The sequence below is a fragment of the Homo sapiens genome, chromosome 20 (genome assembly GCF_000001405.40).
Source record: "Homo sapiens chromosome 20, GRCh38.p14 Primary Assembly".
NCBI classification, from domain to species: Eukaryota; Metazoa; Chordata; class Mammalia; order Primates; family Hominidae; genus Homo; species Homo sapiens.
The window spans coordinates 32,634,629-32,659,434 of NC_000020.11; the positions used below are offsets into that span (position 1 = coordinate 32,634,629).

Genomic DNA, 24,806 nt, shown 5'->3' on the forward strand with positions numbered 1-24,806 from the left:
CAGCCACGAGAAGGGGCCACACTTGTCAAAGGGCCACCACCGGCTGGAGTCATCCAAAAGGCTGAGGAGTCAGATTTCAGAGACTACTTAAAGGCACCAGACAATGCATCTGATGTAACTGTAGGTAAAAGACAGCAAGAGGCAAACTATTTTTTATTAGGAGACCTACATATGCATATATATATATATATGAAATGATATTAGGAAGAAATGTGTCAAATGCTTCACAGTGGTTATCTCTGGTGATGGACTAACCTGGGGGTTGTAGTTCCTTTTTAAAAATAATTTCAGCCAGACGCGGTCTCTCACACATGTAATCCCAACACTTTGGGAGGCCAAGGTGGGCGGATCACTTGAGGCCAGGAATTTGAGACCAGCCTGGCCCATGTGGCAAAACTCTGTCTCTACCAAAAATACAAAAATTAGCCGGGCATGGTGGTGCATGCCTGTAATCCCAGCTACTCAGGAGGCTGAGGCAGGAGAATCACCTGGGAGGCGGAGGTTGCAGTGAGACAAGATTGTGCCACTGCACTCCAGTCTGGGGAATAGAGTGAGACCGTGTCTCAAAATAAATAAATAAATAAAAATGGGCCAGACACGGTGGCTCATGCCTGTAATCCCAACACTTTGGGAGGCCGAGGCAGGCAGATCATGAGGTCAGGAGTTCAAGAGCAGCCCGACTAACATGGTGAAACCCCATCTCTACTAAAAAATACAAAAATTAGCCAGGCATGGTGGCACATGCCTGTAATCCCAGCTACTCGGGAGGCTGAGGCAGAATTGCTTGAACCCGGGAGATGGAGGTTGCAGAAGGCCAAGATCGCACCACTGCACTCCAGCCTGAGTGACAGAGTGAGATTCCATCTCAGAAAGAAAAATAAATAAATAATAATAATCATTTCCTCGGCTGGGCACCATGGCTCATGCCTGTAACCCCAGCACTTTGGGAGGCTGAGGTGGGGGGATTGCTTGAGCCCAGGAGTTCAAGACCAGCCTGGACATGAGGATACCTTGTCTCTACAAAATACAAAAATTAGCTGGGCATGGTGGTGTGTGCCTGTAGTCCCAGCTACTCGGGAGGCTGAGGTGGGAGGATCGCTTGCCTAGGTGACAGAGCAAGACCCTGTCTAAAATAAACATTCCTGTGTTCTCTGATTTTGTAATGGTGGGCCAGTCTCACATTTTCATTTTCAGAGACAGATTCTAGGAGGCAACTCCATGAGGCCACAACTTCTCTTTCCAGCATCCTCCTGAGCCATGCCTCCCAGCCCAGCAAAAACCCCCAGGGAGCCACCCGGAATGACGTGTCGTCCTCCCATCCCGTGTACAGTGAGCCCACGTGCTCTGACTCCTGCCGTTCCTGTCTGAATGCCCTCTGCTTTCTCTCTCCATCTGGCACAGTTCCCCCAGCCCCCAGGCCCCCCTCAGGGTCCTTCCACTGGGGAGGTCATGCACACCGAGCACCCTTGCCACTGAACAACGGGTGTGCATGCCCAGATACTTGCCTGGATGGTGAGCTGCTGGGGGAAGGACCTGCCTTACCTCTTTCTTCCCCAGGGGCTTTATAGGGCCCAGGATTTATTTCTATTTGTTTCCCGCCTCCAATATCTTATTTCGAAAATGTCCAAACCAAAGATAATGGTATAATGAACACCCTTCGCTTAGATTTGCCACAATTTGCTTTTTCTCTCTCTCTTTGTCTTGCTGAACTAGTGCAGACATCTGAACACTTGGCCAGGGCTGGGGATTTGGAAGGTGCTTAACGCCTGCTGGAATCAACGAAAGGGAGAGCAAGGACACGGCGCTGCTCCCCTCTGCCTTTGGCCCCAGTGGATAACCTTGCACAGCAAAGCGCTGGCCTTTCTAAAATGCTAACACAGAGGAGCTGCCCACCTACTTGGAGGCTGGCTGCCAACAGTCAGCACAGCCCCTCTGCAGACACGCAAGGCCCCTGTCATCCCTTCCTGCCTCATCGCTCACTGAGCCCTGGAAGACAGCCTCGTCCTCACACCCACCTGCGCCCCCCATGTGCTGCTGGACTTGGGCCATGGAACCTCTGTCCTCCCCGCTCACCCAGGGAGGGCATATATCTCTTCCATGTCCCTTGCAAACCTGACATCCTCAGAGAAGTGGAGGACTTCCCTGATATTTCCTCTGCCCCTTGGCACCAAGGGCAGCCTCTGTTGGAGTGACCCATTCATCCTGGTCTGCCCAGGACTGCCCAGTTTTAGCAATGAAAGTCCAGTGTCCTGGAACCCCTCAGGCCTGGGCAAACCAAGAGGACTGGTCACCCTGGCTTCTGTTGACTCTCACTGGGTGGGCAGGACATGTTCACACTCCCACTGCCGGGAGACAGCAGCCTGAGAGTCACCAGGGGCAGGGGCTGGGCTGCTCTCTACCTCCCCAACCCTGCCAAGGCCAGGCCACAGAAGAGGCCCAAGGACAGGCTTGCTGACGCTGGCTCACTGCCTAGAGGAAAGAAGAAATGAACCAGCACAGGGCTGGGTGCAATGGCTCACGCCTGTAATCCCAGCACTTTAGGAGAAGGGCAAGGCAAGTGGATCTCCTGAGGTCAGGAGCTTGAGACCAGCCTGACCAACATGGTGAAACCCCATCTCTACTAAAAATACAAAAATTAGCTGGGCGTGGTGGCAGGCGCCTATAGTCTCAGTTACTGGGGAGGCTGAGGCAGGAGAACCGCTTGAACCCAGGAAGAGGAGGTTGCAGGGAGCCAAGATCACGCCACTGCTGCACTCCAACCTGGGTGATAGAGCAAGACTGTCTCAAAATAAAAAGAAAGAAAGAAAGAAAAAGAAACGAATGAGTAGACAACGAAACAGTAATCTTGCCTCCTTCAAATCTGCTCAGATGTCACCTCCTCCATGAGGCCTTCCCTGACTGCCATCTCAGATGATAGCCTCCCCACTCCCCACCCCCACTTTACAGGCTTCCCTAGCATGTATCACTGACTGACATTCTCCATGTCATTTGTTCACTTTCACTAGGGTCCGTCTCTTGGACTACAGTGTCAGCTCCACATGGGCAGGGGTTTTTATCTGTTTTGATCACTGAGGTATTTCTGATGCTTAGAATAATAGGTGTTCAGTAAGAATTCATTGAATGAATGAATCCTTGCTTTCCTGCAAAAGATGGAGCCTCCTGGCCTTCTCACACATTTGGTCTTTTGTTTAATTTGTTCAACAGACATCAGTGCCCTCTGCGTCACTGTGTGTGCATGCATGCATGTGTGTGGGTGTAGGTGTGTGTGCATGTGCCTGTGTGTGTGCCTGTGTTTGTGTGTGTGCAGGTGCATGTATGGGCGTGTGTGTGCGCCCATGTGTCTGTGCGTGTGTGTGCATTGTGTACTTGTTGTTTGCATGTGTGCTTGTGTGTGTGTGTGTGTGTATACAAAGCAGAGTGCCCAATCTGATGGCAGGAGGGGCAGAGGCCAGGGTGAGGACTCAAAGAGCCATCATGCCTGGTTGTATGTGAAGCCAAGGACCTGGCATTTGGGGGTGGGTTCTCTGGGGCAGGACCCTGAGCTCTTTGCAACAGCCTTAAAAGAAAGCCTGGACTGTAATAACCATGGCCAACATATATTGAACACTTGCTATGTCCCAAGCACTGTTCTGTGTGCTTCATGTATGTTTTCTCAGTTAATTCTCAAATCTCTGACATGTAATTGTCCCCATTTTGCAGATGAGGCTGGGGAGCCTAAGTGACTTGCTCAGGGGACCACAGCAAGAAAGTGGGGGTCACAGTCAGACTCTGGAGGGTGCTGCTAACCCTGGTGCTGGAGACTCCATTTGCAGAAGAGGAAGGAGGATCAGTGAGGTGAAGTCACTTGCCCAGGGTCACAGAGGTGGTCTGCTGAGATTTACAGCAGGTCCAGGACACCAGAGGAGTCTGAGGTCCCACTTGGTGGCCACCCTGGAAGAGGTGAGGGTAACCAAAGGGAAGAGGACAGAGACCCAGAGCCAGGCAGGAGCTGTGCTTGAATGCAAAACAGCTGCACAAAACTGGAGGACAGGAGGGACCGGGTCTGACTGGGGAGATGGAGGCCAACTTCTCAGCAAAGCTGTCCTTGCTTCCTCTTCTCTCCTGAAAAATGGCCACAGAAGCCGTGGACCACCTGTCTCCAGGCCTCCACATGGGCTGGCTGCCATGCACTGGCCCTGGAGAGAAGCAGAAAGGGGGGGCGGGCAGCATCCCCTGTCCCAGGCCCCTCCTCCTGCGCTCCCGGCAATGTCGGCCTGACTCACCTGGTGATACCAAGTGTATATTCTGTGTCAGGAGCTGCGGTGTGCAACTCAAGATGCTCTGACTTACTTAATTCTTACACCCAACAAGTTCCAACAGGGAAACAGAGTTCAGGCAGCGAGGTAGCTGCCCAAGCCACCAGCAGAGGGAGGGTACAAGCCCCAACTATCTGGCTCCAGAGCCTGTGCCTCTAGCCCCTACCCAGGATGCAGAGCCCTGGCTCCCCTGGCTGGCCTGGCTCTCCGCCACGAGCCTGTGTAGTCCCTGACAGCAGACACCACCCACAGTGTTCCACAGTCCAGCAAAGGGCTCAGCACACAGCAGGCTCAGCTGAAAACAATCCTTGCTCTTTGAGATATGGGAACAGTGACTTCTTCCTTTGGATGTTTCTCCCTCTACCCAAGTCTGGGAAACAGTAACAGTCTCAGTTGGACAGTACCAACACCTTTCAAAGCTGCCCCTCCTTGGAAGGCCAAGAAGTGGGCAGAACATGGGCTTCCAACCAGGCCAACCTGGAAACGAACCCCAGTTCCACCCTGCAAATCACTGCACCTCCCTGAGCCTCAGTTTCCTCATCTGTAATATGGGGTTCATAAGTGTCATTATGAGGAGCATGGTGGTGTTGGCCTGTAGTCCCAGCTACTCAAGAGGTGAGGGCTGGAGGATCGCTTGAGCACAGGAGTTTGAGGCCAGCCTGGGCAACATAGCAAGACCCTGTAACAATATTTTTTTAAATAGTAAAAAAAAAAAAAAAAAAGTCACCGTGAGGATTAAAGGAGACAACAAGAGCTGGTGCCAGGCACACAGTGGGTGTGCTCAGGGAGGGTGTATCTGTCCACCGAGCACCATGGCCACCTCCAGGCTCTCCCAAGGCCACCTTGGCCACTGCCCCCCTACTTTGAAACTATGGCTATGTAAATCATGATATGTTTGAAGCATACAGAACACACAGAAATGAGCTGTGCCCGGTCAGAGCACTCCACTCTGGCACACACGTAATCATAACAGGCCCTTGGATTCCTGAGTGTTTTCCAAGGGTTGGGGTCTGTACCATGTGCCGTTCGTGGGCGGCCTGCTTCCTTTCATTCTCACGACTTCCTGTGGAGGTGGGTCCTCGGTTACCCCAATTTATAAATGGAGAGACTGAGGCTCCAAGAGGTCCCACAGCCAGGGAGTGGTGGAAGTAGAATTTGTTTTTATGTAGATGTGTATTTATTGACATCAAAGATGTTTACCACATATTATTAAATGAAAAGCAGTCCATAGGCCAACAGAGTATAATTTGGGAGAGTATCATTAAAATATTAACAGTAGTTATCCCTAGGTGATAGGATCAAGGGCCTTACAATTCTTTTCTTTTTTTCTGCTTATCCATATTTTCTAATTTTTTTAATAACAGCTTTGTTGAGATATAATTCACATCACATACAATTCCCCTGTTTAATGCATGCAATTCAATGGTTGCTAGCATACTCACAGAATTGTGAAGCCATCACCATAATCAACTTTAGAGCATTCTCAGGCCGGGCACAGTGGCTCACACCTGTAATCCCACCACTTTGGGAGGCCAAAGTGGGCAGATCACTTGAGGTAAAGAGTTTTGGGACCAGCCTGGCCAACACCGTGAAACCCCATCTCTACTAAAAGTACAAAAATTAGCCGGCCATGGTGGCGTACCTGTAATCCCAGCTACTCAGGAGGCTGAGATAGGAGAATCACTTGAACCCGGAAGGTGGAGGTTGCAGCGAGCTGAGATCACGCCACTGCACTCCATCCAGCCTGGGCAAAAGAGCGAGACTCTGTCTCAAAACAAAAAACAAACAAACAAAAAAAACAAAAACAACAAACTTTAGAGTATTTTCATCATTCCCAAAAGAAACCTCCTGCCCATTAGCAGTCACTCCCCATTTTCCAGAACCCCCCTCTCCAGACCTAGGCAACCATATTCTGTCTCTATGGATTTCCCTCTTCTGGACATTTCATACAAATGGATTCACACAGTATGTGATCTTTGTGACAGGCTCCTTTCACTTGGCATAATGTTCTCAAGCTTCATCCGTATTGTAGCATGGATCAGTATTTTATTCCTTTTCATGGCCAATAATATCCACATTATATCTGTCAATTCATCATATTGAAAGACATTCAGGCTGGGTGTGGTGGCTCATGCTTGTAATCCCAACGCTTTGGGAGGCCGAGGTGGTCGGATTGCTTGAGGCCAGGAGTTCGAGACCAGCCTGGGACACATAGTGAGACCCTGTCTCTACAAAATACAAAATACAAAATATTATCTGGGTGTCGTGGTGCATGTGTGGAGTAGCCTTTAGTCCCAGCTACTAGGGAGGCTGAGGTGGAAGGATCACTTGAGCCTGAGGGTTTAAGGCTGCAGTGAGCCGTGATCACGCTATTGCACTCCAGCCTGGGTGACAGAGCACTCAAAAACTCAAAAAAAAAAAAAAAAAAAAGGAAGAAAGAAACAGACATTCAGGACAACTGGGCTGTTTTCACGTTTTGGCTGTTAGGAATAACGCTGCTATTAACATTTGTGTAAGTCTGTGTGTAGATATATGTTTTAATTCTCTCAATTATATATCTAGGAGTGGAATTTCTGGGTCAAATGATAATTCTATGTTTAAACTTTTGAGAATGTGCCAGACTGTTTTCCAAAATGACTGCACTATCTTACATTACCATCAGCGGTGTATGAGGGTTGCAATTTCTCTATATCCTCACCAACACTTGTTCTTATTTGTCTTTTTTATTCTAGCCATCCTGTGAATGTGAAGTGGTATCTCATTGTGGTTTTGATCTGTATCTCTCTGATAGCCAATAATATTGAGCACCTTTCATTTGCTGATTGGCCATTTATACATCTTTTTTGGAGAAATATATGTTTAGATCGTATCGCCATTTTTAAAATTGAGTTATTTGTTTTTGTTCTGTTTCTGTTTTTGTTTTTGTTTTTTTGAGACAGAGTCTCACTCTGTTGCCCAGGCAGGAGTGCAGTGACACGATCTCGGCTCAGTGCAACCTCCACCTCCCAGGCTCAAGTGATCCTTCCACCTCAGCCTCTTGAGTAGTTGGGACTACAGGCACCAGGCACACACCACCACGCCTAATTTTTGTATTTTTTGTAGAGACGGGTTCTCTCCATGTTACCCAGGCTAGTCTCAAACTCCTGGACTCAAGCAATCCTCCTGCCTTGGCCTCCCAAAGTGCTGGGATTACAGGTGTGAGCCACTGTGCCCAACCAAAATTGGGTTATTTGTGTCTTTATTATTAAGTTGTTGGAAGTAGCATTTAGAGCCAGGTCTGGCCCTTGCTTTACTATCAAATGGTGGACACTGCACACACCCCCATGGCATATGCCCCACCGCCAGGGACATCTTGAAGCCCCCTGCAGACTTGGCCCTGCTCTGAGCAGGTGGAAGAGTAAGTCCTGCTGGGGCCTGGCCCACAAGTGTCCAGTGAATGTCTATGGATGGACAGACAGACAAGTATATCTCTAGGAACGAGTAAGCCAAAGGGGAAGAAAAAACACACAGACCAAGAAGTCCACACCCCAGGAGGAAGAAACTGCTGAGGCCCAGCTCCAGGAGGTAGAGATAACACTTTTGGCGCGGCGAGAGGCCACCAGGCAACTGCCTCTTGTGTCCTTGGTGGCAGTAATCTATCTGGCCTGTTTTTACGTGACTGACTATTGGCCTGTCTGAGGCTGGGAAGGAGAGGCCAGGGAGATTAGCAGGGAACCCATAAGCCTATCTGTCTAGGGGCTTGTAAGGGGGGCAGCTGGTCAGAGGCGGGCAGGGAACTGGTGGGGTGTGTCCCTGCCAGCCTCTGGCCCCAGAAACTCACTGCTTCATCACCAAGGGCGCCTGCATCTTGAACACCCAGCTCTGGATTCTGACTACCTGGGTTTGAATCCCAGCCCTACCATCTCCTTGCTGTGTAACCATGGACAAGTTACTCTCCATCTCTGAGCCTCAGTTCACTCACAGCCTCACCTGTAGAATGGAGACAACCAGAGTGAGAACGAAATGAGACCCTAAGGCTGTGTCTTGGTGGGGCCAGGCTGCCGGTGGGAGGCTACAGACAGTGGGCAGGAGGGCTCACCCACAGGGCATCCCCAGACCCTGTACTCAGAGCCTGTCCCCTTGTGAAATGGAGTCACAGACTCTCCTGAGACCAGCCGCCGCATGAAGGTGCACCTCGGCCCAGTGCTGTGAGAATGTGGCTGCTGGTGGAGGCAGCTCCAAGAACCTGTGTGGTAAAGACAGGCTGGGAGGGGGTGCCAGGGCAGCCTCTGACTCAGGCAGCCTGGGATCAGTGTCCTACTCTGTCTTTTACCAGCTGTGAACCTTGGGCAGGCACTTGGCCTCTCTGTGCCTCAGTTTATCCTTTGGAAGACAGAGATGACAGTCATGCTTACTTTATAGGGTGGCTGTGAAGATTAAATGGGTTAATAGAGGTAAAATGCCAGTTAAAATCTCAGCCTTAAAATAAAGCCCAGAGCATCTCCTGAATTCATTTAACTTCTTTGAACCCCAGATTCTCCCATATTCCCCCGGATTCATCCAGCTGGGCTGTGTGGAGGACGGGAAAGTGTTAGACTATTCTGGCATTTCCCAAAGTGGATCCCATGGACTTCTAACTCACGGGATGCTCTAGGAAAATAAAAAAGGGCACCATTGTCACATAGGCCTGGGTGCTAGTGTAGACCCAGCCGCTTCCTGGAACCACACACACACACACACACACACACACACACACACACACACACACACACGAAAGTTTCTGCGAAACCCTGCAGTGAAGAGCTCTGTGGATGTTTGCGTTGTTTCTCAAATTTATTTGACGATGAACACCCTTTTCTGCCCAAGGTCGATTTAACATCCTCCTAGAAAACAATGATGGTCAAGGTCATTTCTATCTTGCAGCTTCCGTGAATCACAGAAAAGATGGGAAGATTTGCTAAAAATCATCATCATCACCTAGGAGAAGTGCCTTTCTGTTTTTAAAACCCTTTCACACTCACCACCATGAAAGCATCATGGCCCTGTGGGGCACTCTCAGCCCTGCCACAGGGATCAGAGAGGGTCAGAGTGGGAAGGCCACACCAGGGATACCCCACGCCCACGACTGCCCAGCCAGGACTGGCCCAGGTCCCTTTCTACCCCGCACAGCTGCCTCTGGCTACCCCAAACCAGACAGAATACCCAGAAGGTTGTCAGGACAGAAGGTGGCGTCTGCGAGGAGCCTTCTAGAAAAAGGAGTTGTAGCCAGGCACCGTGGCTTACGCCTGTAATCCTAGCACTTTGGGAGGCCGAGGCGGGTGGATTGCCTGAGCTCAGGGGTTCAAGACCAGCCTGGGCAACACGGTGAAACCCTGTCTCTACTAAAATACAAAAAATAAGCCAGGTGTGGTGGCGTACACCTGTAGTCCCAGCTACTCGGGAGGCTGAGGCAGGAGAATTGCTTGAACCCTGGAGGAAAAGATTGCAGTGAGCTGAGATCGTACCACTGCACTCCAGCCTGGGCGACAGAGCGAGACTCCATCTCTAAAACCAAAACAAACCAAAACAAAACAAAACACAAAAGAAAAAGGAGTTGCCAAAAAGAAGCCCTATGGGTTGAGCCAGCCCAGCCTCAGGCAAGGGAGATGTCAAGGATCAGGAGTCCCCTGGGGGCACCTGCAGGGGAGGCCCTGTGACCCTGAGCCTAATTAATTGGGAAAGTGCCCCATTCAAGTAGCCCCTCACATCTCCCTGTAAACATCTCAGCAAATCTAACATCCAGCAACCAGATTACATCTCCCAGAGAGTGGCCTCTTGAACACAGGACAAGGGCCAAAATTCTTCCCTAGGCCCTGCGAGGTTTGGAAAATGAGCTTGATCAGCTAGTCAAGGGAGGAGACTGACATTTATTGAGCACCAGTGATGTGTCATGCATCGTGTACCTGTATGGTGAGATCTCAATTCTGATAATAATCCCTCTTCACAGATGGGGGAAACTGAGGCTCTCGGTGGTAAATTAACATGTCCAGGGATGCAGCAGGGCTAGGATTCAAGCTCCAAGATTGGGTTTGGCTCGCCAGCCCCAGTGCCACCACACGCCCCAAACCCTGTGCCACACCTCGCTCTCCAGGCCCCCTTCCCATTCCTAAGCCAGGTTCTCAGGGCCTCAGATATAAGAGGAATTGGTTGGGGGGCTAATGTGATCTGGCCCCTAACAGCCTGGCCCACACTGTGGATGGAGAAACTGGCACTTGGGTTTGTCGCTCGATGTCCTGGAGAATCGAGCTCTTTCAGCCCCTAGTACTCTGATCATCTGTTCAGGGAAGACAGGTAGAGAAATCCATTTTCTGGGTATGCTAAGCCAAAGGCCATGCCTAAGTCTTTGAATGCTGTGATCATTCCCAGCTGCCCTCAGGTGCAGCCTCCTGCCTGGCATCCCGCCCGGCTCACTGACCTTCCAGAATCCTGGCACTCAGGCTGGGGGTGTATGGAGGGGAGGGGGGCCCATCATACAAACCTCTCTGCAAAACCCCTATTCCTCTCCTTGATGACCCTGCCCCCCTGGGGGGATATTCTCCCAAACTGGGACTTCCCAGAATTTCTGGGTCAGCAAACAGACTGGCTGAGTGGCTGCAGGCCACTCCTCTCCTGCGAGACCTCTCCCCTGCACTGCTGCACGTCCTCCTGCCCAGCGCAGAAGCAGACATTGGAGAGGAGAGAGAGCCAGCACCAAGCCCTCCCAGCTTTCCCACCACACTGCCCATCTTCAAGCCCTCCGAGCTTTTCCACCATACCACCCATCTTCAGGCTGTCTGAGAGGCAGGCTTTCTTTCCTTCATCCCTGGCAGCAGATCCAGGTCACAGAGGGGCAGCTACTTGCCCAAGGCCACACAGTGAGGCAGCAGTGGGCATCACACCTGGGTCTGACTCACTCCAGAGTTGGGGACCTTTTTCCCAGTCCAGTACAGTGGCCAGCAGTGTTGAGGATGGAGAAGTGTTAGACTATTAGTGTGAGATCTGGAGCCTGGGCTCCCCAGCTTCCTCACTGGGTCACTTGGGGTAGACACCTCAACTTCTCTGTACCCCAGTTTCTCCATCTACACAGTGCTATCAGAGAGTCCCTGGCTTCAAATTCTGTGTAAGTTGTGTGGCCTTGGGTGAGTCACTTAACCTGTCTGTGTCTCTGCTTTCTCCAATTTAAAACAGAGTGGGCCTTAAGGTAAGGGTCAGTATGAGGATTTTTTTTTTGAGACAGAGTCTTGCTTGATCCCAATTTTTTTTTTTTTTTTTTTTTTGAGACAAAGTCTCGCTCGATCTTTTTGTTGAGACAGAGTCTCGCTCGATTTTTTGAGACAGAGTCTGGCTCAATCTCAGCTCACTGCAACCTCTGCCTCCTGGGTTCAAGCGATTCTCCCACCTCAACCTCCCGAGTAGCTGGGATTACAGGCACATGACACCACGCCTTGTTAATTTTTGTATTTTTAGTAGAGATGGGGTTTCACCATGTTGCCCAGGCTGGTCTCGAACTCCTGGCCTCAAGTGATCCACCCGCCTTGGCCTCCCAAAGTGCTGGGATTACAGGCATGAGCTACCACGTCTGGCCTAGTATGAGGATTAAACTGTGTGTCAAGGGCTTCCTAGCAGGTGGTGTCTAGAAGGCCCACACTGATGGCCTGCTGTTGTGGTCAAGATGGGGCTGTCTAGGCTGACTCCAGAAGGAAACACAAGGAATAGGCCCCAGAGGTCATCTCCGGGGAGGGAAACAGTTGGGGAAAGGGTGGGAGCCCTAACTTGTCCCTATAGGTTGTCTGCCACCTTCAGAATTGTGTATTGCAGTCACGCATTATTACTGTTACCACAGCTGATTACATGATGACTGCACAGAGCTGCTCCCCTGGCCTGACACATGCACTCATGCTAGCCAGAGGCCCCATGCATGCCTTGGGTGCCCAGGCCAGCTCCTACCACTTGCTTGGCTCATCCCTCCACAGCTACACCCATGCCTCACCCAGGCCCTTTTCAACTACCCCATGTCTCCCAGCAAGACCATGGCACAGCCTTGAGGGCCAGGAGGGTCTCTCCATCTAGCACACACTGGTCACTCACCACATGACACTTGATGTGAGTCTCTGTCCTCCATTGTCTCACTCATAAGTGGAGAGGCTCATGCCTCCCCCAGGGTAACTATAAGGATTAAAATAAAGAACTAGGGCCGGGCGCAGTGGCTCACACCTGTAATCCCAGCACTTTGGGAGGCCAAGCTGGATGGATCACCTGAGGTCAGGAGTTTGAGACCCGTCTGGCCAACATGGTGAAACCCCATCTCTACTAAAAATACAAAAATTAGCCAGGCGTGGTGACGTGTGCCTATAATCCCATCTACTGGGGAGGCTGTGGCAGGAGAACTGCTTGAACCTGGGAGGCGGAGGTTGCAGTGAGCCGAGATCCTGCCATTGCACTCCAGCCTGGGAGACAAGAGTGAAACTCCGTCTCAAAAAAAAAAAAAAAAGAAGAACTAGGGTTTGGCTTGGTGGCTCATGCCTGTAATCCCAGCACTTTGGGAGGCTAAGGTGGGAGGATCACTTGAGGCCAGGAGTTCCAAACCAGCCTGGGCAACATAGTAAGACCCTGTTGCTACAATATATTAAAAAAATTAGCTGGGTATTTTAGCACACGCCTGTAGTCCCGACTACTCAGGAGGCTGAGGTGAGAGGATTGCTTGAGCCCAGGAGATTGAGGCTGTAGTGAGTCAAGATTATGCCACTGCACTCCAGCCTGGGTGACAGAGCAAGACCCTATGTCTAAAAAAGTAAAATGGAGAACTAATGTGTGGAAAGCGCCAGATACAGTTCCCCACCCGGAGTTGAAAGGGTGAAACTACCACGGGTCGGGGAATTGCTCAGGGTCAGGTGCATAGCCTGGAGTGCAGGAGTGTTGGTCCCAGCTCCTTCCCCAGCCTCACCACCCACGGCAGGGGGCGTCGCCTTCCCCCACCCTTCCAGGCTCAGAGGGTGTCAGGTCCCTCATAGTATCTCCCCAATCCATTGATGGCACCTACAGCACCCTAGGCAAGCTAACCCCTACCCACTTCTCTCACCCTCTGTGCCCTCTGAGGAGCAGGCTTTCTTCCTCCATCCCTGGCAGCAGATCCAGGTAACAGAGATCTGCTACTTGGGCTACTTGCCCAAGGCCACACAGTGAGGCAGCAGTGGGTATCACACCCGGGTCTAGCTGACTCCAGAGTTGGGGTCCTTTCTCCCAGTCCAGTGCAGTGGCCAGGGGTGTGGGATCTGGAGCCCAGGCTCCCCAGCTTCCTCAAACAGCCTAAGCCCATCCTGCCTCCAGGCCTTTGCACTCCCCATTCCCTCCTCCTTCCCTGCCCTTCCCATCATTCAGGTTCTGCTCAGCTTTGCCTCCCTCAGAGGCTCTCCTGGACCACCCCTCCCGAAATGCCCCAATCCCTATTCTCTCTGTCTCTTGCCCCTGATTGTTTGCTTCATGGCACTAACCATTGCCTGAAACTGTCTTTTTTTTTTTTTTTTTTTTTTTTTTTTTTGAGACAGAGTCTCGCTCTGTCGCCCAGGCTGGAGTACAGTAGTGTGACGGTGGCTCACTGCAAGCTCCGCCTCCCAGGTTCACGCCATTCTTCTGCCTCAGCCTCCCGAGTAGCTGGGACTACAGGCGCCTGCTGCCAAATCTGGCTAATTTTTTTTTTTTGTGTGTGTGTTTTTAGTAGAGACAGGGTTTCACCATGTTAGCCAGGATGGTCTTGATCTCCTGACCTCGTGATCCGCCTGCCTCGGCCTCTCAAAGCGCTGGGATTACAGGTGTGAGCCACTGCGCTGGGCCAATAAACTTTCTTTAGGGAATAACTTAGAAATTATTTTGCAACAGAAAAATTGCACAGATAGTACAGGGAGTTCCTATTGGCCCTTCACCAAGTTTTTTCTTATGTCAACCTATTACCTAACCATGGTAAGTGGTCAAAACCAAGAAAGTGACATTGGTACATTACACTGATGAGCCGCAGGCTTTACTCCGGTGAAACTGTGTTCTTCCTTACTCATTTGTTCTCAGCTGCCTCCCCCATGAGGAGGCAAACTCTGAAAAGCAGGGAGGTTGCCTCTCCCACTGACATCAATTTCCTCATACCTGGCAAGGAGTGCTGATTGGATAAAGGAGAGGAAAGAATGGCAAAAACAGCCAATGACTATCAAGGACTCCTGCCAGACAGTGTTCCTAAGTGCTTTAAACACTGTAAGCCCCAGCCTGGGCAACATAGTGAGACCCTATCTCTACAAAAAATTTAAAATTAGCCAGGTATGGGGGCATGTGCCTATAGTCCCACCTACCAGGGAGGCTGAGATGGGAGGATCGCTTGAGCCTGAGAGGTGGAGCCTGCTGTGAGCTGTGATTGCACCACTGCACTCCAGCCTGAGCAGCAGAGTGAGACCTTGTCTCAAAAAACAAAACAAAGCCAAACAAAACCAGACCCAACACATAGTAAGCTGTTTAATCCTCACATCAGCCCATGAAGCAGCTATGAATCATAGGGGAACTAAGGCATGGTACGGTTTGGTGGCTGGCCCAAGGCCACAGAGATGGGCAGTACCAGAGTGGGTGGGTTCTAGCACACTCCTCCTGCCCCTGTCACAACACGCTGATGGCACCACAGGGTAACACAGCAAATGCCAGTCCCTCCATGTTCTCAGTCTACGAAACAGTGGAAGGGTCACACCTCCCACAGCCCAGCAGGAGCACAGGCTTGGGATGGAGCCTGAGCCTCTGCTTCTTGCTTCTGCCCACAGTGACTAGTGGCTATCCCGGCCCTGCACAGAATGACACAGGGGCTCTGTTCCGAGGGCCCTCAGCCTCACCCTTCTTCAGGGAAACAGAAGGGGGCTGGTTCGGCCCCGGACCATGGGCTCCCGCCAGTGCTCCCAATTCCCCAGACCCTGCCGACACAAAGCAGGCCTCAGCCCGCCCCGCTCCCTTGGCCCACAGCTTGGACTGGGCCTCTAGGATCTGGCTGCTGAGGGCCGGGTGCAGAGCATGGGCCCCTGTCCTGAGGTCCAGCATTCTCAGAGGAGCTTTCTGGGCTCTGGAAGAGAGAGGAAGAGGAAGACATGGTGTCCCTTTCCGGATGTGGGGTGGGAGTGACACACAGGAGTACTGCAGCCTCCTCCCAGCACTCAGGGACCAAGCCAGAGAGATGTGCCAGCGCCTCCCAAGGGAGAAGCCATTCTCCAGCAGCTGGACAGGACCAGAGCCTGCCCCGCATGTCCGGCCGGGGTTCTACCCAGAGCCAGCCTGGCACAGCCTCGGTCCCTAATCATGTTTGCTGAATGCCTTGAATACAAGCGCCGGTGCCCAGAATCTCCTTGAGGTTTCAGCTGGGCGTGCCGGGCCCATCCCCCACTCTGGGGAGCAGAATGATTGTGGGGGGTGGTAACAGGGGACACCCTGAGGTGGTGGTGGCCTTGGTAGGACAGGCAGGCAGAGCTGGGGGTGGGGGCGCCCTGGGCTCGGCTAATTAAACAGCGACCGTGATGAATTGGAGAGAAACTGCTGCTTGCTAATTAAAGGTGCAGGCAACTTGCCTGGCAAGGATGGGAGGCAGAAGTCCTGGAAACATGTTGAGGTCCAGGCCAGCGAGGACAGAGCTTGGCCAAAGTCCCCCACCGTGCCCATTCTGGGCATCCCTCCCATTGCCCTCCCCCGCCCAGCAGGGGCCCGCAGCCCCCTCCCCACTTCCCTATCTCTCCGACCCACCTTGCTGAGCCTGAGGCCTCCAACTTCCCCCCACCCCTCCCCACCAACCCAAATCCTTTCCTGATAAGGGCCTGGGTGTTGCGGAGGAGGAGGCTGGCGCTGGTGGCTGGGCTGGGGGTGGACTCGCTGAGCCTTTGAGGTCCTCCTTCCCGCCCCACCGCCAAGGTCCCAGAGGTGGGCAGTGAGTCCAGCCAAGACTGATGTGGCCTGTTGGGAACAAGGCCCCCAAGAAGATCATAGAATCTTAGTACCTGAGACTCGCAAGGGGCTTTAGGTCTTCCCTAATTTCCCAACAGTCCCCAGTGTCAGCCCAGGTGTGGGAGACAGGGACAGCACTTCTTACCCGGCTCAGCATTCCAGTTTTTGTAAAGGGAAAACTGGCCAGGCGAGGTGGCCACTGCCTGTGATCCAGCATGTTGGGAGGCTGAGGCAGGAGAATCGCTTGAGCCCGGGAGTTCAAGACAGGCCTAGGAAACATAGGAGACCCTCTCTCTAAAAAAAAAAAAAAAAAAAAAAAAATTAGCTGGGTGTGTTGGCTTGCGCCTGAGGGTTCAGCTACTCATGGGGTAGCTACTCAAGTGGGAGGATCACTTCAGCCCAGAAGGTTGAGGCCGTAGTGAGCCATGATCGCCCCACTACACTCCAAAGTGGGCAACAGAGCGAAACCCTATTCAAAAAAAAAAAGGAAAAGAAACGAGAAAATTGGAGCAAATGATCTCTGAGCCTTGAAGATTCTTACAGGGTGGACAAGAAAACCCCCTGAAGCTGCTCATCCCTGCCCCAAGTCACTTCAAAGCAGGGCTGTAGGCTCAGACACCTTTACCAACCAACGTGACCTCAGGCAAGGGAGCTCATTGTCACATGCCTGGGTTTCCCCATTTGCAAGGCTGGGGATGGCAACAGAGCCCACCTCAAAGGGTCTCTGAGAAGACTGGAGGAGATAACAAAGGTGAAGTGTCCAGCACAGCAACTGGTCTGACCTGAATAGCCAGCCACTGCCATCTGAAAGGTCTGGGGAACTGGGGGGTGACCTGGCACCTAGCCTGTCCGAGTCTTACCTCTTCATGTGGCAGCTGCAGTCTGGCACTCTGAGGAGGAGGATTAGAGAGCTTAAGTGACTTCTGCAAAGCCACACCACTACGGAAGAGGAAGAGGCAGCCTTGGATCCCTTGAGTGAGGAGAGGATGGGACCTGGATTCCTATGTTGACATTTGTTGAGCATCTACTGGATGCAGGGTCCTGAACAAGACCCCAGGAAGGGACTAAGATGAATCTGAGATTCACTCTGCCTTTAAGGGGACCCCAGTCTGGAAGGAGAGAGAAAACACACATACAAATAACTAGAATGCAAAGCAAATGTGGCTGGATGCAGTGGCTCACACCTGTCACTTTGGGAGGCTTAGGCAGGAGGATCACTTGAGATCAGGAGTTCGAGACCAGCCTGGCCAACACAACAAAACCTCGTCTCTACTAAAAATACAAAAATTAGCTGGGTGTGGTGGTGCACGCCTGTAGTACCAACTACTTGGGAGACTGAGGCACGAGAATCACTTGAACCTGGTGGGGCAGAGGTTACAGTGAACTGAGATCGTGCCAGTGAGCTGAGATCATGCACTTCAGCCTGGGCGACAGAGCAAGACTCCATCTCAAAAAAAAAAAAAAAAAAAAAAAAAAGCAAATACCCCTGGCATCAGAGGGGGCCCAGCAGCCCTCCATGCAAAGGGGCTGGGGTGAGACTCTTGGGATGGCGGGGAGATGCTGCTGTGTCTTGGAGCTCAATTTGCAAGGCAAAGGTTTTGATTTTATTTGAACGATAAAATCAGCCCTGGGGGTCATGGGGGTGCTGATGGAGCCTCCTCTGGCTTTTTTGGGAAGTTCTGGGTGGTCCCTGACCTCTGTGATTCCTGCTTCGAAGGTTCTGGGATCTATCCTGGAGGTATCTAGGAGTCCCGGATGCTGTGGTTTTTGGAGACTACACTGTCCAGACCCCCAGCATGAATACATTCACGTCCACAAAAAACAGTGAGGGCCCCCTTCCAGGTAGCCAGACACGCACCAGTTTGGGGGGCTTCCTGCTGCTGGGCAATTTGGTGGGGAGAGGATGCAGCACCAGTGAGAGGCCCTCTCAGAGATGGTGGAAGCCTCTCAAGGCTGAGAGATGCAAGGCTGCTGGCCCCGATGTTGCAAAGCCTGAGCCTCAGGCGGCAACCCAAAGCGGGCAGGGTGAGTGCTAGGTCACTGGCCTTGGGGATGGTGCCTCCGTCACTCCCTTCCTGGAGATCAGAGCTCAGCCAGAGGAGCGGGCTGGTCTAGCCACAGGAAGTCTGTGCAAGCACAGCCAGCAGCTCCTGGAAAATAGGCGCTGCTCTCAGCCTCCCCAGGGCACCCTGCACCCAAGCTGGGCCAAATGATGGTCTGGGGCGCCCTCTGGTGGCTCCTCTGGGCAGTGGTGGATGCTGAAGCCACTGTGAATTTAAGGGTGGGTGGGGCAGAGATGGTCAGAGTTGGAAGATTTCAAGGTGGACCACTCTTTCCACTACACAGATGGGAAAACCAAGGCCCAGAGGGAAGTGACCTGCCTACAGTTGCACAGCCAGTGACTAATACAAGAACAGAACCCAGAAGTTCCTCTGTACCAATGCTTTTTTTTAGGGGGTCTCAAGACATCCCACCCTAGGGGAGGGAAGGCTGAGTGTCCAGGGCTCACTCCCAGTGCATATGGACAGCTGAACTGTAGGTCGCTGAGTATCTGTGTGACATAGCATGCAGCACTTCCCTCCCAGGCTTGGTTCTTTGCCTCTAAAGCCTGGGGTTACTGTGTTGGCAAGGGATGGGGGACTAGGCCTCCTGCTTGCACACTGCTAGAACTGAGGGTGTAAACCAGCCAATCTTTCGGGGAGTTCTAAGAAGAGTGTTCCTACAGCTGGTATCATACTTCATGGTGAGAGATTGGGTGCTTTCCCCAAGACCAGGAACAAGACAAGGATGTCCACTCTTACGGCAAAGTTGAATTCACGACTTGTATTCAACACTGTACTGGGTACAATGGCAAGAAAATAAAGTCATCCAGATTGCAAAAGAAGAAGTAAAACTATCCCTACTTGCAGATGACATGATCTTATATATAGAAAATCTTGGTTGGGAGCAGTGGCTCATGCCTGTAATCTCAGCACTTTGGGAGGCCAAGGCAGGTGGATCACCTAAGGTCAGGAGTTTAAGACCAGCCTGGCCAGCAAGGCAAAACCATGTCTCCACTAAAAATACAAAAATTAGCCAGGCGTGGTGGTGTGTGCCTGTAACCCCAGCTACTCAGGAGGCTGAAGCACAAGAATTGCTTGAACTTGGGGTGCAGAGTTTGCAGTGAGCCAAGATCACGCCACTGCACTCCAGCCTGGGTGATGGAGCGAAAAAAAAAAAAAGAGAAAATCCTAAAGAATCCACTAAAAAAAAGTTATAACTAATAATTGGGTTTGGCAAAGTTGCAGGATACAAGATCAATATACAAAAATCAATTGAGCTTCTACACATTTGCAATGAACACTTCAAAAATGTAATTATGAAAATAATTCAATTTATACTAGCATCAAAGAGAATAAAATGCTTAGGAATAAAAGAAGTACAAAACTTATAATCTGAAAACTACAAAACATTGTTTAAAGAAATTAAAGATGCCATAAATAAATGGAAAAATACCAATGTTCATAGATCTAAAGACCCAATACCATTAAGATGGCAAGACTCCCCAAATTGATCTTCAGATTCAACACAATCTCCATCAAAATTCCAACTTGGTTCTTTACAGAAATTGACAAGCTGATCCTAAAATTCATATGGAAATTTAAGGGACTCAGAAAAGCTAAAACAGTCCTGAAAAAGAATAATGGTGGGCCAGGCGTGGTAGCTTATGTCCGTAATCCCAGCACTTTGGGAGGCCGAGGTGGGCAGATCACTTGAGTCCAGGAGTTTGAGACCAGCCTGGGTGATATGGTGAAACCTCATCTCTACAAAAAATACAAAAATTTAGCTGGGTGTGGTGGCATGTGCCTGTAGTCCCAGCTACTCAGGAGGCTGAGGTGGGAGGATCACTTGAACCTGGGAGGTAGAGATTGCAGTGAACCAAGAATGTGCCACTGCATTCCAGCCCGTGTGACACAGCAAGATCCTTCCCCAAAAAAAGAAGAAGAAAAAATGAACAATGTTGGAGTGCACACACTTCCAATTTCAAAAATTACTATAATAAACTACAGTAATCAGGACAATGTGGTACTGGCATAAGGACAGACATAGAGATCAATGAAATATAAATAAGAGTCCTGAGAGTCCAGAAATAAACCCTCACATTTGGTTCAGCCGCAAGAGCCGAACATATTTAATGGTGGAGTTCAATGGGGAAAACAGAGTCTTGCAAAAGAAAGAGGTCAGACCCCTGCCTCACACCATACACAAAAATTAAAGTGGATGAAAACAAATGTAGGAGCTAAAACTATAAAACTCTGAGAACATAGACATAAATCTTCATGACCTTGGATTAGGCAATAGTTTCATAAATATGATACCAAAAGCACAAGCAACCAAAGAAAAAATAGACTAGGCTTCATCAGAATTTAAAATTTTGCATCAGGCATGGTGGCTCACACCTGAAATCCCAGCACTTTGGGAGGCTGTGGCAGGAGGATCGCTTGAGACTGGACACTATCAAAAAAGTGAAAAGACAACCCACAGGATAGGAGAAAATAACTGACAATCATATATCTGATAACAGATTCTAACCAGCATATATAAAGAACCCTTACAACTCAATAATAAAAGACAAATAGCCCAGTTTAAAAATGGGCTGAGCCAAGTGTGGTGCTCACTCCTGTAATCCCAGCACTTTGGGAGGCTGAGGTGGGCAGATCACCTGAGGTCATGAGTTCAAGACCAACCTGGCCAACATGGAGAAACCCCATCTCTACTAAAAATATAAAAATTAGCCCGGCGTGGTGGCAGACGCCTGTAATCCCAGCTACTCAGAAGGCTGAGGCAGGAGAATCACTTGAACCCAGGAGGTGGAGGTTGCAGTGAGCCAAGATCACACCACTGCACTCCAGCCTGGGTGACAGAGCAAGACTCCACCTCAAAATTTAAAAAATAAAAATAGAAACAGGCAGATATGGTTGGGATGTTTGTCTCCTCCAAATCTCATGTTGAAATGTGATCTCCAGCGCTGGAGGTGGGGCCTGCTGGGAGATGTTTGGGTCACGGAGGTGACTCCCTCATGAATGGCTTGGTGCCCTCCTCACAGTAATGAGGGAGTTCTTGCTCTGTTAGTTCACAAGAGAGCTGGTTGTCTGAAGGAGGCTGGCAGTGCCCACCCTTTCTCTTGCTCACACTGGCTCCCCTTTGCCTTCTGCCATGATTGGAAGCTTCCTGAGGCCTACTCCAGGAGCAGGTGCTGGTGCCATGTGTCCTGTACAGCCTGTAGAACTGTGAGCCAAATAAACCTCTTTTCTTTACAAATTACTCAGTCTCAGCTATTCCTTTATAGCAATGCAAACAGACTAATGCATGGGCATAGGATGTAAATAGACATTTCTCCAAAGAAGACATACAAATGGCCAATAAGCACATGAAAAGATACTCAACATCATTAGTCATTAGGAAAATGCAAGTCAAAACCACAATGAGATAGCACTTTGTACCCACTAGGTTAGTTATAATAAAAAAGACAGATAATAACAAGTGTTGATGAGAATATGGAGAAATCAGAACCCTCATACACTGCTGGTAAGAATGTAAAACGTTTTGGAAAAAGCCTGGCAGTTCAAAAGGTTATATATAGAGTTACATGATCCAGCAATTCTGCACCTAAAAGGTATATACCCAAGAGAAATGAAAACATGTATTCACATAAAAACTTACATAAGGCCGGGCGCAGTGGCTCATGCCTGTAATCCCAGCACTTTGGGAGGCCAAGGCAGGTGGATTTTCGGAGTTCAGCAGTTCGAGAACACCCAGGGCAACATGGTGAAACCCTGTCTCTACCAAAAATAGAAAAAAAATAGCCAGGTGTGGTGGCATGTACCTGTAGTCCCAGCTACTCAGGAGGCTGAGGCATGAGAATCGCTTGAGCCCCAGAGGCAGAGGTTGCAGTGAGCCAAGATCGCACCACTGCACTCCAGCCTGGACAACAGAGTACGACTCCATCTCAAAAAAAAAATCTTACATGACTAGTCATAGCAGCATTATTCCCCCAAAATAGAAACAACCACAACCCAAATGTCCATCAGCTGATGAATGGATAAATGAAAGGTGGTATATTCATACAATGGAATATTATTCAGCAATAAAAAGGAGGACTAAAGTGCTGACACATGCTGTAACATAGATAAACCTTACAAACATCATGCTGGGGCCAGACACAGTGGTTCACACCTGTAATCCCAGCACTTTGGGAGGCTGAGGTGGGAGAATCACCTGAGGCCAGGAGTTCAGGACCAGCCTGAGCAACACAGTGAGACCCCATCTCTACAAAAAAATTAAAAATTAGCTGAGGCTGGCCATGGTGGCTCACACCTGTAATCCCAGCACTTTGGGAGGCTGAGGCGAGTGGAACACTTGAGGCCAAGAGTTCCAGACCAGGCTGGCCAACATGGTGATACCCTGTCTCTACTAAAAATACAAAAATTAGCCAGGCGTGGTGGTAGGCACCTGTAATCCCAGCTACTCGGGAGGCTGAGGTAGGAGAATCACTTGAACTCAGGAAGAGGAGGTTGCAGTGAGCTGAGATCTCACCACTGCACTACAGCCTGGGCGACACAGCGAGACTCTGTCTCCAAAACAACAACAACAACAACAACAACAAAGGAGTTTGAGACCAGCCTGGGCAACATAGTGAGACCTCATCTCTAAAACAAAATTTTAAAAATAAATAAAAAGGCGTCACATTTACTAACATCGATGAGGTCCAAGATATACCACCAAGTCAAAAGAAAAAAAAAGCAGGTTCAAAAATAAGCCTGTAGGCTGGGCAAGGTTGCTTCTGCCTGTAATCCCAGCACTTTGGGAGGCCAAGGCAGGAGGATCACTTGATATCAGAAGTTCGAGACCAGCCTGGCCAATATGGCAAAACCCCGTCTCTACTAAAAATATAAAAATTAGCCAGACATGGTGGTGGGCACCCCTAATCCCAGTTACTCAGGAGGCTGAGGCAGAAGAATCCCTTGAACCTGGGAGGTGGAGGTTATAGTCAGCTGAGATTGCGCCACTGCACTCCAGCCTGGGCAACAGAGCTAGACTCTGTGCGCCCCCAAACCTAAAAAAAAAAAAAGAAAGAAAGAAAGAAAAAGAAAGCATGCAGATTAAAACAGGTACTTAAGAGACTTTAAGAAGATAAAATTTCAGCTGGGCACGGTGGCTCACGCCTGTATCTCAGCACTTTGGGAGGCCGAGACGGGCGGATCACCTGAGGTCAGGAGTTTAAGACCAGCCTGGCCAACACGGTGAAACCCCAACTCTACCAAAAATACAAAAATTAGCTGGCACCTGGCATTCTGATTTTTAAGAAGCAAGCATAATAGGATTCCATTCTTATGAAAAAATCTGTATCTATATGTGTATAACAAAAATACCTGGAAATTTAGGATTTAGGGTACTCTTTTTATTTTTGGAGAACAGGGCTCACTCTCACCCAGGCTGGAGTGCAGTGGCAGGATCACGGCTCACTGCAGCCTCAAACTCCTGGGCTCAAGGAATCCTCTCAAGTAACTGAGACTACAGATGTACACTACCATGCCCAGCTAATTTTTGAATTTTTTCTTTTAGAGCTGGGGTCTTGCTATATTGCCCAGGCTGGCCCCAAACTCCTGGGCTCAAGCAATCCTCCCACCTCAGCCTCCCAAAGGGCTGGGATTACAGGAGTGAACTACCACACCCAATCTATGATACTCTTAATTTATATTTTACTGAATTTTCCAATTTTTGTTACTGCAATGGATAATAATCACTTCTACAGACAGAAAAAACAATAAAGCTTTTTGCTGTGTTGCAGGCATTCCTTTGGCCCTGACATTGTGTGAGCACAAAGGGTAGGTGGGGAATGACACTGGAGCTACAGGGAGATGGAGCAGGAGAAGACCAAGGCTCAGCGTCCTCCGGCCTTGGCGTCCAGGGCTGATTCAAGGCCTAGACCCCACTGCGGCTTCCCAGAGACTCAGACCCACTTCTCTTTTTTTTTTTTTAAACAGAGTTTCGCTCTTGTTGCCCAGGCTGGAGTACAATGGCGTGATCTCGGCTCACCACAACCTTCGCCTCCTGGGTTCAAATGATTCTCTTGCCTCAGCCTCCCGAGTAGCTGGGACTACAGGCATGCACCACCACGCCTGGCTAATTTTTTGTATTTTTAGTAGAGATGGGGTTTCTCCATGTTGGTCAGGCTGGTCTCAAACTCCCAAACTCAAGTGATCCACCTGCCTTGGCCTCCTAAAGTGCTGGGACTACAGGCATGAGCCACCGTGCCCGGCCTAAGACCCCTTCTCTTTCAGGGCAGCTGGTGCAGCTGCTGCACAGCCGACCCCCTTGCCCCACACTCCAAAGACACTGGGAATGTAATCCTGGCTTGATGAAGGTCACCCTGTTTCTGGCCGTACAATTCACCAAGGAGGAGAAGCCCTGGGCAGGAGGCCTGGGGCTAGGGGCAGGTTCTCATCCTGCCTACTACCAGCACAAAAACATTATCGCAGCTCAATGAACACTCTCTACGCATCAGGCAGTCCTGCTAGG

At 50.3% G+C, this 24,806-nt stretch overlaps 1 protein-coding gene across 3 annotated transcripts in view, besides 6 other annotated features; it reads right to left on the bottom strand.

Moving 5' to 3' along the window:
• The window catches only part of C20orf203 (chromosome 20 open reading frame 203), a 42,317-nt gene that overhangs the window by 3,004 nt on the left and 14,507 nt on the right, over positions 1 to 24,806 (bottom strand). Inside the window, exons 2-5 of one of the 3 annotated variants that reach the window (NM_182584.4) lie at positions 17,105 to 17,353; positions 16,390 to 16,538; positions 14,627 to 16,253; positions 5,938 to 6,059 (exon numbers count right to left, since the gene is read on the bottom strand). In NM_182584.4, the coding sequence (NP_872390.2) occupies positions 15,804 to 16,253; positions 16,390 to 16,524 (585 nt within the window). In that variant the 5' untranslated portion in view covers positions 16,525 to 16,538; positions 17,105 to 17,353 and the 3' untranslated portion in view covers positions 5,938 to 6,059; positions 14,627 to 15,803. Of the gene's footprint in view, positions 1 to 5,937; positions 6,060 to 13,030; positions 16,254 to 16,389; positions 16,539 to 17,104; positions 17,474 to 21,947; positions 23,132 to 24,806 lie in introns of those variants that run through there. The other 2 variants (XM_047440131.1, XM_024451878.2) reach the window with 2 other exon arrangements.
• Positions 3,892 to 4,079: a silencer, noted in NCBI's record as "fragment chr20:31226322-31226509 (GRCh37/hg19 assembly coordinates)". NCBI's record gives its function as "represses an EF-1alpha promoter that drives an FKBP-Casp9 reporter gene in an ReSE screen in K562 erythroleukemia cells {active_cell/tissue: K562}" and the evidence as "EXISTENCE:reporter gene assay evidence [ECO:0000049][PMID:32094911]".
• Positions 4,333 to 4,832: an enhancer, noted in NCBI's record as "H3K4me1 hESC enhancer chr20:31226763-31227262 (GRCh37/hg19 assembly coordinates)". NCBI's record gives its function as "activates a minimal SCP1, AML or CMV promoter by ChIP-STARR-seq in naive H9 embryonic stem cells {active_cell/tissue: H9 hESC(naive)}" and the evidence as "EXISTENCE:reporter gene assay evidence [ECO:0000049][PMID:30033119]".
• Positions 13,030 to 13,530: an enhancer, noted in NCBI's record as "H3K4me1 hESC enhancer chr20:31235460-31235960 (GRCh37/hg19 assembly coordinates)". NCBI's record gives its function as "activates a minimal SCP1, AML or CMV promoter by ChIP-STARR-seq in primed H9 embryonic stem cells {active_cell/tissue: H9 hESC(primed)}" and the evidence as "EXISTENCE:reporter gene assay evidence [ECO:0000049][PMID:30033119]".
• Positions 13,531 to 14,031: an enhancer, noted in NCBI's record as "H3K4me1 hESC enhancer chr20:31235961-31236461 (GRCh37/hg19 assembly coordinates)". NCBI's record gives its function as "activates a minimal SCP1, AML or CMV promoter by ChIP-STARR-seq in primed H9 embryonic stem cells {active_cell/tissue: H9 hESC(primed)}" and the evidence as "EXISTENCE:reporter gene assay evidence [ECO:0000049][PMID:30033119]".
• Positions 18,106 to 18,155: an enhancer, noted in NCBI's record as "active region_17719". NCBI's record gives its function as "activates an Ori minimal core promoter by ATAC-STARR-seq in GM12878 lymphoblastoid cells {active_cell/tissue: GM12878}" and the evidence as "EXISTENCE:reporter gene assay evidence [ECO:0000049][PMID:35858748]".
• Positions 18,446 to 18,545: a silencer, noted in NCBI's record as "silent region_12805". NCBI's record gives its function as "represses an Ori minimal core promoter by ATAC-STARR-seq in GM12878 lymphoblastoid cells {active_cell/tissue: GM12878}" and the evidence as "EXISTENCE:reporter gene assay evidence [ECO:0000049][PMID:35858748]".